This window comes from Homo sapiens, chromosome X (genome assembly GCF_000001405.40).
Source record: "Homo sapiens chromosome X, GRCh38.p14 Primary Assembly".
Taxonomy (NCBI): Eukaryota; Metazoa; Chordata; class Mammalia; order Primates; family Hominidae; genus Homo; species Homo sapiens.
Genome location: NC_000023.11, coordinates 80,298,210 through 80,319,317, shown reverse-complemented (window position 1 = coordinate 80,319,317; position 21,108 = coordinate 80,298,210). Strand labels below are relative to the sequence as shown.

The 21,108-nt window shown below is 36.6% G+C and overlaps 1 pseudogene across 1 annotated transcript in view, besides 1 other annotated feature; it reads left to right on the top strand.

Moving 5' to 3' along the window:
- The window catches only part of CHMP1B2P (charged multivesicular body protein 1B2, pseudogene), a 106,830-nt pseudogene that overhangs the window by 16,001 nt on the left and 69,721 nt on the right, over window positions 1-21,108 (top strand). Inside the window, exon 2 of the transcript NR_110646.1 lies at window positions 9,085-9,239. The product of NR_110646.1 is annotated as a charged multivesicular body protein 1B2, pseudogene (transcript). The remainder of the gene's footprint in view (window positions 1-9,084; window positions 9,240-21,108) is intronic.
- Window positions 1,414-1,708: a silencer, noted in NCBI's record as "tiled region #5203; HepG2 Repressive non-DNase unmatched - State 24:Quies". NCBI's record gives its function as "represses a minimal TATA promoter and a strong SV40 promoter by Sharpr-MPRA in HepG2 cells {active_cell/tissue: HepG2}" and the evidence as "EXISTENCE:reporter gene assay evidence [ECO:0000049][PMID:27701403]".

Genomic DNA, 21,108 nt, shown 5'->3' with positions numbered 1-21,108 from the left:
GAGCTGCAGACTGGAGCTGTTACTATTTGGCCGTCTTGGGATAAGGTTATATATTGATCAGTTGATGAAAATGTAACCACCTATTCCTGTATTTCCCCTAGAAGTAATGGTTCAGTATTTGCTAATTTGGTATTCTCAGCAACTTAATTAGACCATGACTACCTTGGACAACATGAATCAATTGTACTTCCTTTGGAAATTAGTGTTTTGTTTGAAAATTCTTTGGAGTCTAATTTTAGATCTTTTGTAAATTATCTGAACTTTCACTATGGCTCTTTTAAAGTTGTTATTGTCTTCGGTAGTCAGAGGCTTACTGTAATATATCTAGTGTAGATTTATTTTCTGCTTGGCATTTTTTATGCTTCCTGAATTAAAATATTAAAGGTTACTTTCATCAGTTATGCGAAGAGTCTCATGCATCATCTCCTTGAATATAACCTTTACATATTTTGTATTACAGTTTGTATTACAATCTGTTTGTATGCAATCTGTATTACAGTCTGCTATTTTTCTCCTCAACTTTATTTAATTTTTAGTTTTATACATCTAGTCATTGAAACCTAAGGGAATCCTAAAATTCCTGGGTTGAAGATGTTTCTCCAACTTGGAAGTATTTTAATATTTCAGGATGGGGTTTCCCAGATCCTTCCAGGAGGACACATTTGAAACCCAACTCCACATGATGACATTGCTGTGGCTATAAATTTGTAGGAGAGCCTTTGTTTCACCCTCAGCTTCCACCTAAGGCCCGTAGAAAGTTAATCATATCATCTTATAATCCCTTGCTGGCTGATAAGATATTTTTCTACCTACCCTTGTGCTAATGTTGTAACCTTCAAGGGTTCTGTCATTATTCAAAAAGTTCAGTTCCAACACTGTGGGAGTTTCAGGAGCTTCAGTGCTTGCTTACTAATAGTTCCTTCTTCCTGTTTTGTTCTTTCCCAGCGGATTTTCCTTCTTTTGGACTTCTATTATAGTTTATTCAGTATTTCAGAGTGTTTTTCTAACTCTTTAGGCTTCCATATTTCTAGAAGTAGCTCAAGTCTTTTGGGGGAAAAAGCATTATGGAACAGAATGCACGGTTGTGAAAGATCTATTTTTTGGCCAGTATTTTATACTGTAATCCTAATTATTAAATAAGACTAAGTTATAAGACGTATTCAGTAGTCAGTCCTCAGTATTTGAAGTTTACAGTAAATTTCAGGTTTAATCATAGCTGAAACCATTCTTTAAAAAACATAAAAGAATATGTTAACTATATTAACTCATCAAAAATAATTGGTATTGTAAGAATTAAAGAAAGAGGAAACATGAAAGTTTCTTTCGAAAGGGGGTGAAGATTGGCAGTTAACAAAGAGACTTTCCCCCCACCTCCCTCTGTGCCTTAGCTGTCTTATCTGTGTTTTACTGTCTGCTCTTTCTGGCTGCTTGTAGTTAGAAGAGAAGTGATTTCCTTGAAATGCATGAGGCTAGAATGGGAGCTGGAACTGAAAGTGGCAGTGTTTGTCTGAGATGATGGTGCTCCTGCTCTGTCATTCTAGGCCCTATAGTTATAAAAGGATGAGGGGCGATGTGTTCTTTCTGGTTACTTCCTGCTGATGGGGGTGTGGAGAGTTTCTTGGTCTCAGATTGCCTGCAGGAGCAACACTGTGTGTAGATGTTTTGAGGCAGTTGTCTGCGAAATGGCCATGATTCTGTCAGTTAAAAAAAAAAAAACGAAAAAGGTTAATTAGGCAGGGTTAAAACATTAGTTGTAGGCTTTTCAGCAGTGTTTCTTATTAGGCACGATTGGTTGAGTTAGAAGCAACATTTCTTCCCCAATGAGAGGCAGAGGCATGTGTTTGGAAAGACCCATGTGTTATTTTTTGTTAGTAACTGTTACTCCTTCTATGAGGATAAGAATTAACCAAAATGCTATGGTAATTGAGATTCTGTGTCCGGTATTCTACTCTGATAGTGCTACAGTATGTAGTTCTACTACAAATAGTAGAGTGAGTAAAGCAGTTCCCACAAGGGTGGCTTACTAAATTTCCATTAAAAAGGTTTTAATATTTGGATTAAAAGGAGAGGTAGAAGCGACAAAAGTATTTGGTGAGGCAGGGTTGAGATTGAGTAAGATGAGTAATTTTTACTTAGTTATCTTTTATGATTTTCAGTATAAGATTTCTTATTTTTTTTACATTGATATTTAGGGTATTTTTCTGGGCTGTTAGGGGTTGCTTTCTCAGCTCTTTAGGCTTTGACTTGAGTGTGATGTATCCAGGAGTTGTTCTGTAACGGATATAATTTAAACTGTAGAAAATAATAAAAACAAAAACATTAGGCAATACTAGAATTTAACAACAGGTGTGCTATAGTTTTTGAAACACAATTTTGTCTTCAGTTTCACATTTTTATTAAAATACAAATCTTTATTATACTTGGCTTAATTATTTGTATACAGTGCAGCAAGAATAATTACTTGCTACATAGGCCTTTTAAATAGTCTTTGATGGAACTTTGTTACATAGAAGGTATTTGAGATAAGACTTTTAAAAGTCAAGCCCAGCGATGGATTTTTACCATTAAATACCTATGAGTTGGTTGAATTCCTCTCTTCTTGAGGTTTTAAGATAACTTGGGGTTCCTGGCCTGTCAGAAATTGATAGTCTTTACTTACCACAGGTCAGAAACTTTGTACAGGGACTGTGTACACAAAGCATGAGGCCAGTTTTCCAAGGGTTTTATTGGCTCCTTCAGTCAAGTTTAATTCCTTAAAGGAGAGCACATCATTCCAGTCAAAGCCTTGGTAAAATAACCAGTTTTTCCAACTTTGTTCTGTTACAAAAGAAAATAGATTCCCACCCCCGCCTTTTTTTTTTTTAGACAGAGTCTTGCTCTGTTGCCAGGCTGGAGTGCAGTGGTGAGATCTTGGCTCAGGGCAACCTTGGCGTCCCGAGCTCAAGTGACTCCCCTGCCTCAGCCTCCTGAGCAGCTGGGACTACAGGCGTGCACCACCACGCTCGGCTAATTTTTTGTATTTTGGTAGAGACAGGGTTTCACTATGTTGGCTAGGATGGTCTCGATCTCCTGACCTCGTGATCCGCCGGCCTTGGCCTCCCAAAGTGCTGGGATTACAGGTGTGAGCCACTGCGCCCAGCCACAAAAGAAAATAGATTTTTATTGCACTGATGCAAACAACAATACTGTTGTAGTTTAAGAATACTTGTAACTAGTTTTCAAATTCTAGAGGAACTAGCAGAGAGAAACAAACACACTTTAAATTCTGTTTAAAGGAGTATACTTTAGTTAGTTGTAAAAGGCTGTAGCTAGCTTAAGACAAGTTTTCTTGACTCTGAAAAATAAACTAAAAATTAGCAGTGTTCTAAGCAAAAGGTAAAAACTTGTTTTTGTTTTTTACTAGTTTAGTCCATTTTATTAACTTTTGTTTTGCTTGAGATTTGTAAACATTTTAGCTTTTCATGAGTTCTGTATTTTTTTTGTTGTGAGAAGCCCACATTTGAGAGCACTTCTTCCACCACTTCGTTAAAAACCATCTTAGAAGACAATTAAAACAAAATAAGAATTGTCTGTAGATAACAAAATGTCCAGGTTGGATACAGTTAGAAACACAACTGACAAAGAAATTTGGTCATTTTTGTGGTTTACAATAACCCAACATAACAACCTTGATTGTGATTAATAGCACATATTTAGACACTAGAAACTTAGACATTCCATACAGTTTTGGAACATATGTTAATATTATTCCCTAAAATATAACCTATTAGACATTATTTTGGCAATTTTATGTACCTAAACATGTTAAATAATCCTGTTTACCTTTTTTTCCAGATGCTGCAGGGGTTAGGAAAGACAATTTTGAGACTAAAATTTGATTTTGAGAAGCCTGTTAAATATGTTTAAAATTTAAAATGCTTGATATTAAAATATAATTTTAGATTACCATAAGTTTTCTGTTTGTTTGTTTGGTTTTGCTTTGCCAAAATGATGAGTTAAAAATTTGGAAAAGCAAAAACCATTTATTAGCCTTTTGTATTACATGAAAATTCTGTTTAAGAGAGAAAGTTAAATTTTACCCTTGCATTAGTTTGCTATTAATGTTAACCCTAATTTTAATGAAACCTTCTAGACAATTTTATTTAATTTTACCTAGTTTGTCCATGAAGTGAGATTTTTACATACCCGTTATAACCCTTGACAAGTTTTGCTAAAGAGTAGATTAGCATTTTAAGAAAACCTTGTGGTGCTTTTAGTGTTTAATTTACAGAAAAAACCATATAATACCCCTTTGAGTTTAGTTAATATGTTTACACACAGAGATTTCTTTGCAGGATTAATTTTTACAATGTTTTTACAATCTGCTAAACCATCCATTTTATTTAATTTTAAGACAAGTTTTTATTCTTAAGCAAAATGTACATTTTTATGCCTTCCTATAATTTTTAACTAAAAACACTTTTTACTGTTTTTATATACCTTGCATGCAAATCCATGTTCAGTAGTTTTAATTACATCTTATAATGGTAACTTTTAGCAATTTTCAACTTTAATGTAAAACCTGTTTTTTTTTTTTTAAATTATGTGCTAGATGCAGATGAAGTTTGACTTCTTCCAGCATAGTTAGGGGCATAGTTACTTCCATCTTCCATAGGTTTCTGGCCTTACCAATTGTGAAGCAGGCAAGTTGACAGTTTTTAAAGGCTAAAGAAGCAGTTTACAACCTTAAAACATTTAGCAAACCTAGTATTTGACCTGCATAATGTAGACCACATTTTTACACCTTAAGAACATTGGTATTTTACCAATAATTCCTAAGACTGTTTTTATTTTTAAGTATTAAAATTACATGAACTGAAAGGTACCACAGCTTTTACTTTTTGTTAAAAATATTTGATTTAGCCACTTATTTTTCTTAGCCCAATCAATTAATTAGGGCTCTTTTTAATAGACATTGCACACATAACACATATATAGCCACACAGACAACCAGAAGAAGATCAAGTAGTTAGAAGGCTTACATTTGCTAATTTCCTAATTGGATTATTGGCCTCCGGGTGTGGCCCTTTAAGAACAGGGCTAGGAAAACAATTTTCAGGGCCTAATAGACAAGCATAGCTGGAAGACAAAGACAGATTTTGAGAGGTACTTATTCACCTCTAATTCCAGGGGTTCCATAAGGAAAACAGATTTTTCCCAAAATGGAATTTGTGATGCCTTTTCTGTCTTCCCAAGGAGTCCCAGACCACCAGAAGTTATTCTAGGGTCTTTTATGCATGCACCAAGACTGGAAAGACAGAGTGGAGAAAAGTAATTTCAACTGGAAAAAAAAAAACCTTTTTCAGGAAAACAAGATTTACGAAGAGAAAAACATAAAGGCCTTTTAAATACACTTATAGCTTGGATATCCATTTTAATTAAGCTGAGCACTCTTTTTTATTAAGGGTGAGGGTAGATGTTGGAATTATAAGAATGTTATGCCAACTTATATTAAAGGATTGGGTTACATGCAGGAATTCCCTGCAATAATGAGAGGGATTTTTAGAGAAAGATCCCAGAAGCTGTTCAATCTGCCACAAATCAGACATGGAGAAGGGGACGTGAACCCGAGCAATACCTTTAACCATAGACACTTACCGTAGGGGGAGAATGGCAGAGGAGGTTTGACTGGTTGGAGTAGTTTTTGAAGGGGTGGAGAAGAGGAGGGGCGGGGTTTAAGGTAGAAGAAAGCCTAAATATGGGGAACCTTTTGTCATTTGCTGTTTCTGATGATAAAGTTGTTAAGGTGCCTGAGAATTTGAAAGTTAAAGGTGCCGTTTTTGAGCCATCAGCTGTTATTATCTAGTCTCTATTGGGGCCAAGTCATGTTGCAGTATAAAATTAAATGTTTTGGATTTAGGGTCCCCTGTAAGCCAAGTTTGGTGAGGTTGCAAAGACAACAGCCCCGTGGGGAGGGCGTAGGAATGTGGATTGTTTGGCACCTATGTGGACTGGTAAGAGGAAACCAAGGGTGTCTGTTTTGTTCTAGGTATCCCCAGACAAAAGACAGAGACTCGGAATTCTGTTTCCGAAAGAGGATGGTTAAGTTGAGAAGGAAGTGGGCATCCCCAAGATTTCCTCTAGCTTAGTCCCGTTAGTCCTCCAAGGACCTGGATGGCAGGCCGGACTTTCTCCAGTACCAAGAGGAAGCTAGGAGAAGGCAGATCTTACCAGTCAGCTGAATTAGTGTCTGCTGTTGGATGTTCTGGTTGGAATCGGCAAAGGGCCTCCCAGACTGGAGCCACACGAGGAAGAGAGAGAGAGAGAAAGAAGAGGGAAAAAGAGGGAGCAAGGGTTAGGGAGTGAAATACCCATTGTGTGAGGTCAGAGGTGGATTCCTGAGACCTGAGGGTTTTGAGAGCCCACTGGGGAGTAGCCCTGGCCTGAGCCTTGCAGTTCCCTTCAGATTAGTTGTCCTCCTCACACAAATCGCTTGAAAAGTGAAGTAAGAGTAGAGGTGGGGTGGGCGGCCAGAGACCCTCAGGATCCAGGAGTTAATTCAGGATGAGCTGCCATTACCCACTGCTTCCTGGGTTGCAAGAGAGCCTCTGCCCCCAACACCCATCCCGGGTTTCAGCACCAAATGTAAGAATTTTAAAGAAAGAGGAAAGAAACATGAAAGGTGGCTTGACAGTCAAGGACAGGTTTATTTTAGAGAAAACAAACCTGAGAGGGGCTTCTGGCTGATTTAGGTTAAACTTAAACTCTTACAGATTAAGAGTTTTTTAAGGATTTAGGGTGGGAGAGTTTGTCAGAGGCTTGGACTCCTTCTTGTCTCTTTGTTGTGCTTATCTGGGAGAGAGAGTTTTGTGTCTGTTCCTACACGTCTTTCTGCAACTGCAGGCATACCCCACTGAGTCTGCTTTTAGCTTCCCTATCTTAGTGTACCTGAGGGGAAAGAAATGTGCTTACTAAGGCCCACTGTTTTACTGGGGCCCATTGTATGAGGGTGAAGTTTCGCAGTTACCAAGAGATTTTCCCTCCACCTCCCACTGTTCCCGAGCTCTCTTATCTGTGTTTTACTGTCTACTCTTTCTGGCTGCTTGTAGTTAGAAGTGATTTCCTTGAAATGCATGAGTCTAGAAAGGGAGCTGGAACTTAAAGTGGCAGTGTTTGTCCGAGATGACGGTGCTCCTGCTCTGTCAGTATCATAATTCAGCTTTTAACTTTAGTGACTTTTTCTACAGAGACAGCAATTATATTGGGGAAATAATTTAGAAAATGAAGACAAAGAAAGGAAAAATAATATATTTTTCATCTATATTAGTGATTTTGATTTTCATCAGAGGTGCATTTTCCCTCCCCCACCCCAAGTGACTTTTGGCAATGTCTGGAGATGTTATTGGTTGTTACAACTGAGAGGAGTGGGTGCTTCTGACATCTACTGGATAAAGGCCAGGGATGCTGCTAAATTTCCTAGAATTTATAGGACAGCCTCACAAAGAATTATCTGGCCCCAAATTGAGAAACCTTGGCAAACCGTGTGTGTGTGTTTGTGTGTGTGTACATATACATATTTGTGTGTGTATATATAAGGGCATATAACTTAGTCACCAAGCTGAAATTGTTAAATCTTACAAATTTCAGGTATATTTTATATTAAAATTACACATAAATGTATACATATGCACTTATTTACAATTCTAGGTATATCTAGAATTTATAGCCTGGAAACTACTCAGGGCAGCACATTTATTCCTGTCATTATCCATAAATAAGGCATAGAATTAAAGCCATGAAACCAGTGAGAAATGAACAAGATAGCTTTAGTTTTGGTAAATTAAAGAAACCATTCTTGTTTTCTAATAGCGATATTATCAATCCAAAAGTCAGCCCTTTAAATCATATCATGTGTGTGCACTTTTCAAAATAAATAGATAAAAAGGAACCTTCCATCGTTTTTGTAAATGTCCTAAAGAAACACAGAAACAAGGTTTTAAAAAGTATATTTTACCTTTTTTCAGAGGTCATTTACCTTTTTTCAGAGGTCATAAAATACATAGAGTCTTTAGGCATTGAATTAGAGCCATGAAGCAACTGAGAGATAAAGAAGATAGCTTAATTTATTATTTAGTTTTGGTAGATTAAGCAAGCCATTCTTGTTTTCTAATAATGATACAATCAATCCAAAAGCCAGCCCTTTAAAACTATACCTTAGTGATCTAGTCATTACATAATCTGGTTGGTTTCTAAATAATTCGCAGCACTTTGTCATATATATGTGCATATACTTCATATTTATTTTTGTTTGTGACATGAAAATGAAAGATTTATGATATTCAATGTGGTTTTATTTATGGGAGTGCTTTTATTCCTAGTTTTTTAATGATTTTTTTCTTTTTTAATTAAAAAGTTTTAAAATAATTTTAGATTTAAAGAAAAGTTGTAAAAATAGTACAGCAAGTCCTTGTATACCTTCTACCAAGCTTTTGCTAATGTTAATGTCTTACAGAACCATAGTATAATTATCAACATAAGGAAATCAACATCACTACAAGATAAATAAATAAACCACAGATCTTATTTGGATTTACCAGTATTTCCATTAACATCCTCTTTCTGTTCCAGGATCCTACGTTGCATTTAGTCGCCATATCTCCTTAGTCTCCTCCAGTCTGTGACTGCTTATTCAGTCTTTCCTTGCTTTTCATGAATTTGACACTTGAAAAGTACGCTAGTCTGTTATATCAAATGTCTCTCAGTTCAGGATTGTCCCATGTTTTCTCTTGAGTAGATTAAGGTTATGTTTTCGGCAACCATGCCATAGAAACGATGCTATACCCCTCTCAGTTTATCATTTCAGAAGATAAATTATACTGAAATGTTTTATCACTGGTGATGTTAACCTTGGTTAAGTGGTATCTGTCCGGTTTCTCCACAGTAATTTCTCCCCTTATAATCAATGATTTCTATTAATTTGATATTTTTTAACAGAAAACAAGTGTAGAATAAAGAAATTGTTCCAGTTCCTCAAAAGCATTGTGACTAGTTGGTTAATATTAATCTTATCTCATATGTTTTATAATTTTAATATCTTGTTTGCAGGTAGTTATGTTGGGGAAATAACTTTTTGAATAGCCTTATCCTTAATGGCTCTTTTCAGAGCCATTATTTTACTTGAAGTTTGCTGCAAAAGAACTTAATAGGAATGCCAAGAAATGTGATAAAGAAGAAAAGGCTGAAAAGGCCAAGATTAAAAGGTAAGTCACTTTTAATATATTTACTTTTTTAACTCATGAAATGAGCATAATTAATCATGGAACAATGATTAATTATACATAGTTTATTTCATGTGAAGAAAGATTAATATCTTTAGCATTCTAAGCCAAGAATCCATTTAAATAAATTCCTTATTATCCTACATAGTTAATAATGGATTTTTTTATTACTATGTTTAATTGCATATACTATTTGTATGTGCAATTATGGCCCACAAGGCTAAGTTGCAACTATGCTATGTTACATACATCTAAAGACTATCCTTTGATTTATAGCTAAAACCACTTACTATGAAGTATAAAGCCTATATCTAAGAATAATATCAAACATTTTTTACTAATGTTTAAATTTTTACAGGTTCTAAAGTTTATATCTAAACATTGCATTAATGTTTACTGTGATTTGTGTATTTGCTAGGAGGATTCACAGAACTCAGTGTATAGTTGTACTTATGTCTATGATTTATTAGAGTAAAAGGATATAAAGCAGGATCAACAAAGGGAAAGTGTGTATAGGGTGAAGTCTGGAGGATCCAGGTCCAAGCTGGCAAGATTCCTTTCCCAGTGAAGTCACATGGAACAAGCTTATTTCCTCCAGCTACTTATCATGATACATGTGAAATGTCTACCAGGGAAGTTCCCCTGGGCTTAAGAGTTCCCAGTTTTTAATCAGTAGTCAGTCATGGGCACATTCTGCCTGGCACATACCAAAATTCCAGATCCCCAGAAGGAAATCAGGTGTTTGGCATAAATCACCATTGTTTGTACAAACAGTTTAGGTACAGTGAGCCACTCTTACCAATTCTGGGAATCTTCCATAAATCCAAGTTCCTAGATGCCAGCCAAGTGTCAAACGTCAAGTAGGCCTACCTGAGGATAGTAGTATAAGGTATGCTATGCTAATTCTTTTCTGTGTGTATTTATAGATCTATTTTAGTTTAGTTATTACTTTAGATATTCGGATATATAATAGTGTATATCTAATCCTTAAAATGAGTCGATTGAGTCACTTAGGGTATTTTGTCTATACTCTTAGTTGAGAACACTTTATGAGAGGAAAACTTCTAGAAAAGGATATGGAAGTCTTTAGGCTGAGTCTGCAGAAAAAGTAAACTTAAAGTTGATGTATTAGGATTATCCCTTTCTAAAAACATGGGCCAAATATTGCAAAGAAAGAAACCCCAAAAAGGTTTCTGGTCTAATATTTTTGTATACTGAGGAGTTTAGAAATTATTAAGAAATGTATCAAATCTCAGACAAGCACAGCAGTATTAAAACATGCAATTTACTCCACCATATGCAATCCTAATTAATTTTCTATTTTGTGGTTGACTGACAAGGAGTAGTGGTTCCTTAGCATGTGTCTAGTGCATTGCAATTCTACTCTTGCAACATTTCTTTGCAGTTTACTTTGCTTTTTCCTCTAGTTTTTCAGTCCTCATCCTCCTTTAACTGTTAATTTTTCCAAACTTCCCAACACATGGCCTACAACAATCATTTTTTATTAAAACATATTAAAGTCACTTTTCATTGAAATGTACTCACAAAGGGTTTGATTTCAAAATGTGTAAATCCATATAACAACATATGTTTGATGTGGATCGAATATAGAAGTTCATAAAAATAAAACCATATACATACTAGAAGAGAAAATGAGGGGTGAGTTTTTTTACAGTCTTGGAGGAAGGGCTGCAAAACACAAAACCCAGAAGCCAAAAAAGAAAGACTGATAAATTTGACTCTGTTGAAAAAAAATTCCATGTATCTAAAAATGTAATTAAAAGAAAAATACCTGGGAATGAATATTTGTAGAGCTATTAAAGCTTATCTGTTTAATATGTAAAGAGCTCTTAAACCAATTAATAAGAAAATGGCTAACAATTTATTAAAAATTAGGCAAAGCATATAAAATGTCTTTTAAACACAAAAGAGCTTACCCTTACTCAGTCTTTAAATGCATTATTTTTAAAATATAAATTAAGATACAGAGGTGAAGCAAGATAGTGGAATAGAAAGCTCCACCAATTGTCCTTACCCCCCAACCCCAACAAGGACACCAGTTAACAACTAACATTACGCAGAAAAAATTACCTTCATAGAACCGAAAATGAGGTGAACACTCACAATACCTGTTTTTAACTTCATATTGCTGAAAGAGGCACCGAAGAGATAGAAAAAGCAGTTCTGAATCTATGACACCACCCCTTCCCCACCCCTGGCAGCTGCAGCCTGCTTGCAGAGAGCATCTCTGGGCACTGGGCGAGGGAGAGGACAGTAGTTATAAGGCATTGAACTCAGTGCTGTTCTGTTAAAGCAGAAAGGAATTCCAGACCAAACTTAGCTGATGCCCACCCACACAGGGAACATTTAAACCATCCCTAGCCAGAGGGAAATGACCAATCCCAGGGGTCTGAACTTGAGTGCCTGCAAATCTCACCACTTAGGGTCAAAGTGCCCCTGGTTTCTAGGTAAACTTGAAAGGCAATCTTGGCCATAAGAACTGTAATTCGGCCAGGCGCGGTGGCTCACGCCTGTAATCCGAGCATTTTGGGAGGCTGAGGTGGGTGGATCACGAGGTCAGGAGTTAAAGACCAGCCTGGCCAAGAAGGTGAAACCCTGTCTCTACTAAAAATACAAAAAATTAGCCAGGTGTGGTGGCAGGTGCCTGTAATCCCAGCTACTCTGGAGGCTGAGGCAGGAGAATCACTTGAACTCGGAGGGCGGAGGTTGCAGTGAGCCGAGATCGCACTACTGCACTCCAGCCTGGGTGACAGAGTGAGACTCTGTCTCAAAAAACAAACAAACAAAACAAAACAAAGAACTGCAACTCTTAGGTGTGTCCTATGGCGGAAGTAGGCCCAGAAACAGTAGACTGTGTGGACACACGACACACTGAAACACTGCCTGGGGCAGTCAAGGGAGTGTTGGCATCACCCTTCCCTTAATTGCAGGCTGCACAGCTGGTGGCTCCAAAAGAAACCCGTTTTGCTTGAGGAGAAGAAGTGGAAGAGTAGGGCAGACTTTGTCTTGCATCTTGGATGCCAGCTAAGCCACCACAGGATAGGGCACTGGTCAGAGTCATGAAACCCCTGTTCCAGGCCCTAGCTCCCAGACAGCATTTCTAGACACACTCTAGATCAGGAGGGAACTCACTGTCTGGAAGGGAAGGACCCAGTCCTGCCAGCATTCATCACCTGCCAACTGAAGAGTCCTTGAGCCTTGAATAACCAGCAGCGATACCCAGGTACTACATTGAGGGCTTGTTGAGCCTCTGAGACTTGCTGGCTTCAGGTACCAACACTGCCATGGGGGTTAGAGCACCAAGTGGGCTCTTGGGGTCCCCTGTGTCAGGACTTGACTCTTGGACAGCATTTCTGAACCTGCCCTGGGCCATAGAGGAGGTCACTACCCTGAAGGGTGAGTCCCAGGCCAGGCAGTATTCATCACAAGCTGACTTAGGAGACCTCAAGCCTTAAACAAACATCAGTGGTAGCCTGGCAGTACTCCTGCTGGCTAGCTGTGGCTCTGACTATGGGGTGAGGCTCATCTGTCTTTGGAAAGGGGAAGGAAGACTGGGAAGGACTGTGTCTTGTAGTTTGAGTGCCAGCTCAGCAACATTACAGTAGAATACCAAGTAGACTTCTAAGGTTTTTGACTGAAGTTCCTGACTCCTGGACAGCACTTTTGAACTCACATGGGGCCTGGAGGACCTTGCTGCACTGAAGGGAAGGATATAGGCCTGGCTGGCTTTTCCAACTGCTGATTGTAGAGCTCCAGGGCCTTGAGCAAACATAAAGAGTAGCCAGGGAGTGGTTATAGCAGGCCTTGGGTGACAACCAGGGCTGTGCTGGCATCAGGTCTCGCCCCATGCAGTCATACTGGTAGTATGACACAGAGTTGCTTGTGTCACTCTACCCCCAGCTGTAGGTGACTCAGAACAGAGAGAGAGAGAAAGAAACTCTATGTCTGGGAGAATATAAGGGAAGAGAACAGAAGTCTCTGTCTGGTAATTCAGAGAATTCTCCTGGATCTTGTTTAAGGCCATCAAGATGGTACCTCTACGAGCCTGCAAGCACCACAGGGTTATGGAGCTTGGGGTGCCCCTTAAAGCAGAAACAGCTTAGAACACAACACTCAAGTCTTTTCAAATATCTAGAAAGCCTTCTCAAGAAGGATGGCTACAGATGAGGCCATACAGTGAAAACTACAATAAATACCTTATTCTTCAGTGCCCAGACACCAAAGAACATCTACAAGCATCAACACCATCCAGGAAAACATGACCTCAACAAATGAACTAAATAAGGTACCAGGGACCAATCCTGGAGAAACAGAGATATGTGACTTTTCAGACAGAGAATTCTAAATAGCTGTGTTGAGGAAATTCAAAGAAATTCAAGATAACACAGAGAATAAATTTAGAATTCTATCAGATAAATTTAAGAGAGATTGAAATAATTAAAAAGAAGCAGAAATTCTGGAGCTTAAAAATACAATTAGCATACTGAAAAATGTATCAGAGTTCTTTAATAGCAGAATGGATCTAGCAGAAGAAAGAATTAGTGAGCTTGAAGACAGTCTGTTTGAAAATACACAGTCAGAGGAGACTAAAGGAAAAAAAAGAATTAAAAAATGAAGCATGACTACAGGATCTAGAAAAATACTCTAAAAGGGCAAATGTCAGAGTTATTGGCCTTAAAGAGAAGGTCAAGAAAGAGATAGGGGTAGAAAGTTCATTGAAAGGGTTACTAATAGAGAACTTCACAAACCTAGAGAATGGTATCAATATCCAAGTCCAAGAAGGTTATAGAACACCAAGCCAGTTTCACCAAAAGCAGACTACCTCAAGGCATTTAATAATCAAACTCCCGAAGGTCAAGGATAAAGAAAGGATCCTAAAAGCATCAAGAGAAAAGAAACAAATAACATACAATGGAGCTCCAATACATCTGGTAGCAAATCTTTCAGTGGAAACCTTACAGACCCAGAGAGAGTGGAATGACATATTTAAAGTGCTGAAGGATAAAAACTTTTATTCTAGAATAGTGTATCTGGCAAAAATATCCTTCAAACATGAAGGAGAAATAAAGACCTTCCCAGACAAACAAAAGCTGAGGAATTTCTACCAGACCTGTCCTACAATAAATGCTAAAGGGAGTACCTCAATCAGAAAGTAAAGGATATTAATGAGCAATAAATAATCACCTGAAGGTACAAAAATAACTGGTAATAGTAAGTACATAGAAAACCACAAAATAATATAACACTGTAACTGTGGTATATAAACTACTCTTATCCTAAGTTGAAAGACTAAAAGATGAACCAGTTGAAAATAATAACTACAACTTTTCAAGACATAGTACAATAAGATATACATAGAAACAATAAAAAGTTAAAAAGTGAGGGATGAAGTTAAGGCAAAGTTTTTATTAGTATTCTTTTCACTTGTTTGTTTATGCAAACAGTGTTAAGTTGTTATCAGGTCAAAATAATGAGTTACAAGATAGTATTTGCAAGCCTCATGGTAACCTCAAACCAAAAAACATGCAGTGGATACACAAAAAATAAAAAGCAAAAAACTAAATAGTCACCAGAGAAAAATCATCTTCACTAGAGGATGACAGGAATGAAAGAAGAAAGAGAAGATTACAAAAGAACCAAAAAACAAGTAACAAAATAGCAGGAGTAAGTCCTTACTTATCAATGATAACATTGAATGTAAATACACTAAACCCTCCAATCAAAAGACATAGTTTGGCTGTATGGATGAAAACAAGACCCATTTATTTATCTGTTGCCTACAAGAAACATACTTCACGTATAAAGACACACATAGACTGAAAAAAAAAGGATGGAAAAAGATATTCCATGCCAATGGAAACCAGAAAAGAGCAGGAGTAGCTATAGCTATATAAAACAAAATAGATCTCAAGACAAAAACTATAAGAAGAGACAAATAATGTTACTATATAATGGTAAAAAGGGGTCAATTAATCAAGAGGATATAACAATTTAAAATATATATGCACCCAACACTGAAGCACCCAGATATATAAAGGAAATATTATTAGAGCTAAAGAGATAGACTGGCCCCAATACAATAAAAGCTAGAGACTTTAACATCCCACTTTCAGAATTTGATCGATCTTCCCAGGGAAAAATCAGCAAAGAAACATTAGACTTAAATATTCACTATTGACCAAAAGGTTCTAATAGATATTTACTGGACATTTCATTCAAGAGCTGCAGAATACACATTCTCTTTCTCAGAACATGATCATTCTCAAGGACAAACCATAATGTTAGGCCACAGAACAAATCTTAAAACATTTAAAAAAAACCTGAAATAATATGAAGTATCTTCTCTGACCACAATAGAATAAAGCATCTTCTCTGACCACAATGGAATAAAACTAGAAATTAATAGCAAGAGGAGTTTTGGAAGTTATACAACTACATGGAAATGCTCCCAGATGACCCGTAGGTCAATGAAGAGATTAAGAAGGAAATTGAAATATTTATTGAAATAAATGATAATGGAAACATACCGGTGGGATACAACAAAAGCAGTACTAAGAGGGAAATGTATAGCTCTAAGTGCCTACAACAAAAAACAGGGACAACTTTACATAAGCAATTTAACGGTGCATCTTAAAGAACCAGAAAAGCAAGAGTAAACCAAACGAAAACAGTAGAAGAAAAAAAATAATAAAGATCAGAGCAGAAAGAAATGCAATTGAAATGAAAAAAAGGACAAAAGATCAATGAAAAATTGGTTTTATGAAAAGTTAAACAAAATTGTCAACGTTTAGCCAGACTAAAAAAATAGAGAATATCTAAATAAAATAAGAAATGAAAAAGGAGATATTACAACTGATACTGCAGAAATGCAGAGGATCATTAGTTGCTACTATGAGCAACAATATGCCAATAAATTGGAAAAATCTAGAAGAAATGGACAAATTCCTAGATGTGTACAGCCTACCGAAATTGAACCAGGAAGAAATCCAAAACCTGAACACACAGATAACAAGTAACAAGATAGAAATCGTAACAAAAATTCTCCCAGTAAAGAAAAGCCTGGGACATGATGGCTTCACTGCTGAATTATACCGAACATTTAAATAACTAATAATACCAATCCTACTCAAATTATTTTGAAAAATAGAGGTGGAGGGAACACTTTCAGACTCATTCTTTGTGGCCAGTATTACCCTGGTACTAAAACCAGACAAAGACACATCAAAAACAAACAAAAAACATACACAAAAAAAACTACGGGCCAGCATCACTCATGAATATTGATGCAAAAATCCTCAACAAAATACTAGCAAACCAAATTCGACAGTAAATTAGAAAGGGCATGCATCATGACCAAGTGGAATTTATTCCTGGGATACAGGATGGTTCAACAAACACAAATAAACTCATGTGATACATTATATCAACAGAATGTAGGATAAAAATCATATGATCATTTAAATTGATGCTGAAAAAAACACTTGATAAAATTCAACATCCGTTCATGATAAAAAAAAACCCTCAAAAAACTGGGTATAGAAGGAACATACCTCAACATCGTAAGCACCATATAGGACAGACCCACAGCTAGTACACTTAATGAGGAAAAAACCGAAAGCCTTTCCTCGAAGATCTGGAACACGACAAGGATTCCTATTTTTACCATTGTTATTCGACATAGTACTGGAAGTCGTAGTTAGAGCAATCAGATGAGAAAGATACAAAGGGCATACAAGTTGGAAAGGAAGAATTCAAATTATCCTTGTTTGCAGGTGATAGGATCTTATATTTGGAAAAATCCAAAAGATTCCACAAGGAAACTGTTAGAACTGATCAGGAAACTCAGTAAAGTTGCAGGATACAAAATCAACATACAAAAATCAGTAGCATTTCTCTATGCCAACAGTGAACAATGTGAAAAAGAAATTTAAAAAGTAATCCCATTTACAATAGCCACACAGAAAATTAAATACCTAGGAATTAACCAAAGAAGTGAAAGATCTCTATAATGAAAACTAAAACCTTGATTAAAAAAGTGAAGAGGACCAAAAAAATGGGAAAATATTCCATGTTCATGGATTGGAAGAATAAATATTGTTAAAATGTCCACACTACCCAAAACAGTATACAGATTCAGCACAATCCCTGTCAAAATACCAATGACATTCTTTACAGAAATAGAAAAAACAATATGTATGGGGAACCACAGAAGATCAAGAATAGCCAAAGCTATGTTAAACAAAAAGAACAAAACTGGAAGAATTACATTACCTGACTTCAAATTATACTAGAGGTATAGTAACCAAAACAGCATGGTACCAGTATAAAAACAGACACACAGACCAATGGATCAGAATAGAGAACCCAGAAACATATCCACACATTTTTGTCAAACTTATTTTCCACAATGGTGCGAAGAATCTACACTGGAGAAAAGACAGTCTCTACGTTAAATGGTGCTGGGAAAACTGAATATTCATATCCAGAAGAATGAAACTAGACCTTTATCTTTTTCCATATACAAAAAATCAAATCAAAGTGGATTAAGGACTTAAATCTAAGACCTCAAACTGTGTAACTATTACAATAAAACATTTGGGTAAATCTGGACATTTATCTGGGCAAAAAATTCCTTGAGCAGTACTGTACAAGTCCAGGCAACCAAAGCAGAAATGGACAAATGGGATCACATCAAGTTAAAAAGCTTCTGCACAGCAAAGGAAACAATCCACAAAGTAAGGAGACAACCTCCAGAAAGACAGAAAATATTTGCAAATTACTCATCTGACAAGGGATTAATAACCAGAATATATAAGAAGCTCAAACAACTCTATAGAAAAAAAACTAATAATCCGATCACAATATGACCAAAAGATTTGAATAGACCTTTCTCAAAAGAAGACGTACACATGACAAACAAAGGTGCTATAAACATCATTGGTTATCAGAGAAATGTAAGTCAAAACTACAAAGAGAAATCATCTCAGTTCAGTTAAAATGGCTTATGTCCAAAAGACAGGCAAGAACAAATGCGAGGATGTGGAGAAAAGGGAACTCTTGTATACTTTAGGTGGGAATATAAATTAGTACATCTGCTATGAAGAACAGTTTGGAAGTTCCTCAAAAAACTGAAAATAGAAATACCATATTACCTAGCAGTCCCACTGCTGAGTATATACCAAAAAGAAAGGAAATCAGTATATCAAAAAGAGATGTGCACTCCTATGTTTGTTGCAGCACTGTTTACAACAGCTAAGATTTGGAAGCACCTTAAGTGTTCATCATCGGATGAATGGATAAAGAAAATTTACGTATACACAATGGAGAACTACTATTCAGCCATAAAAAGAATGAGATCCAGTCATTTGCAACAACATGGATGGAACTGGAGATCATTGTGTTAAGTGAAATAAGCCAGGCTCAGAAAGACAAAAATCACATGTTCTCACTTATTTGTGAGATCTAAAAATAAAAACAATTGAATTCATGGACATTGTAGTAGGATGGTTTCCAGAGGCTGGGAATGGTAATGTGGGGCTGGGGCAGATGTGGGAATGCTTAATAGGTACAAAAATAGTTAGAAATCATGAATACAACCTACTACTTGGTAGCACAATAGGGTGGCTGTAGTTAGTAATAACCATATGTTTTAAAATAAAGAGTGTAATTGGATTATTTGCAACTCAGCAGATAAATGCTTGAGGGGATGGATAACCCTTTCTTCATTATGTACTTATTTCATATTGCATGCCTTCATCAAAGCCTCTCATGTACCCCATAAATATATACACCTACCATGTACCCACTAAAAATAAAAATTATAAAAATTAAGTAAAATATAATTAAAATAGTATTTTTCAGGCTTATAAATATCAGAAAGGTTGCTAATATGCTTTGTTATCAAGACATGGGGTAACAGGCACATAATACTTTGATGAGAATGAAAATTATTATAATTTTGGAAGGCAGTTTGGCAATATCTCTCCAAATCGTAAATTCATATACTTTTTGATATAGTAATTCTATTTCTAGGACTTTTTCCTGAAGACACATTTGCATATGTTTATGGACATGCCAAGTTTCATCTTTATAGCATCATTTGCCATAAACAGAAAATAAATAAAAATAGATAGAACCCTCTTGCTCATTATATTATGAAACTGTCATATAATAGAGTAATACATAGACATTGAAAAGACTGAGATAAGCATGTATATTGAAACGGAATACTGCTAATGAGAAAAGCAAGGTGAACAGTTGTCCATCTATTCAACAATGCCAGTTTCTCTACTCTCTTGCCAACATTAGATATCAAAAAACTAGTCTTATGCCAATATGATTGGTGAAATAAGGTATTTCATGGTTTCAGTTTGTATTTCTTGTGAATAAGTTTGAGCGTCTTTTTATGGTTGGACATTTTTATTTGTGACCTACTTGTTCATAACCTTTGTGTCTTCTTTTTTTGTTGTTCAACTTTTTTAACTAATTTGAGAGTTATAAATTTTATGATCATGAAAAAAAGTGATACCTTTAAAAGCAGACACATAGATCAAGGGAACAGAATGAAGAGCCCAGAAATAAATCCACATGGATGGGATCGATCAGGGAGATGAGGGTAAGGAGTGAGGACCACACCAGGTTGAAAAAGCCTATATGATAAACATCAATATTTAATGGGATTGGGGATGGAAGGTGGAAAAAGGGGAACCAAAAAGTTTCAAAAAGGAACAACCAGAGAAGTAGGAAGGAGAACCAGGAGTAAAAGCGGTATATTGGAAGCCTGGGGAGAAGGGAGATTCAAGGAGAGAATGAATGATTGGCAGCACAAAATCTAGCAAGTAAGAAGGTTAAAATACAGCCAGTAGAATGACAGTGATGACCTTAGGAAGAGCAATTTCAGTGGAGTGAAGGAGGCAAAATCCAGGTTACAGCAAGTTGAGGTATGAATGAGAGGTAAGAATGGGAAGATAGATACTCTCATCGCCCTTATTTCTTCCTTGTACTACAGACTCTCATATCTGGCAATCATTTTGTCATCTCTCCTTGGGTATCTAACAGGCATCACAAACCTAATATTTTCAAAAACTAGAATGCTTGACTTCCACTCTTGTTTATGCTAAAACATAATCATTACTGTTCTGCTGCAGTATTTTCCATTTTAGTCGATAGCAACTCTACACCCATTTGTTTAAGCCAGAAGCCAGGGAGTCATCATTACTTACTCTTTTACCCCACATCTAGTTCATAGCAAGTCTACCTTCAGAATATATCCTGAACCTGACTAGGTCTCACCACCTCCATTGCTAACGTCCTAAGCCAAATCACATCATTTCTTGTCTGCGCTACTGCCCTGAGCTCTCAGCTGGTCTCTCTGCATCTACCATTGCCCCCTGTGGCCAATTATTTCCTCAATAGCCAGAGTGGTCATTTAACAGTAGATCATTATCATGTCATTGTGTTGCTTAGAGCCCTTCAGTGTCTTCCCAATGCACCTAGAACAAAATCCAAAAACCTTACCATCAAAGCTCTAAATGATATGGCCCTGCATGCAACTCCAACCTCATATCTTACTACTCTTCCCTTCAGTCACACTACTCCAGCACACAGTGGACTTCACATTTTTCCTGGAACACATCTCCCTTAACCTTGTCTTGAGGACTTTGCATTAGGCATTTCCTCTGCCTGGACATATTTTTTTTTCCCTTCAGATTTTTGCAGGGCTGTTTCCTTCTGGCCATTCAGTTTTCAACCTAAATGTTATTTCCCTCAAGTTACCTTTCCTAACTACCCAGCCTAAAGTGGCCCATCTACTCTATTACCCTACCCTGTT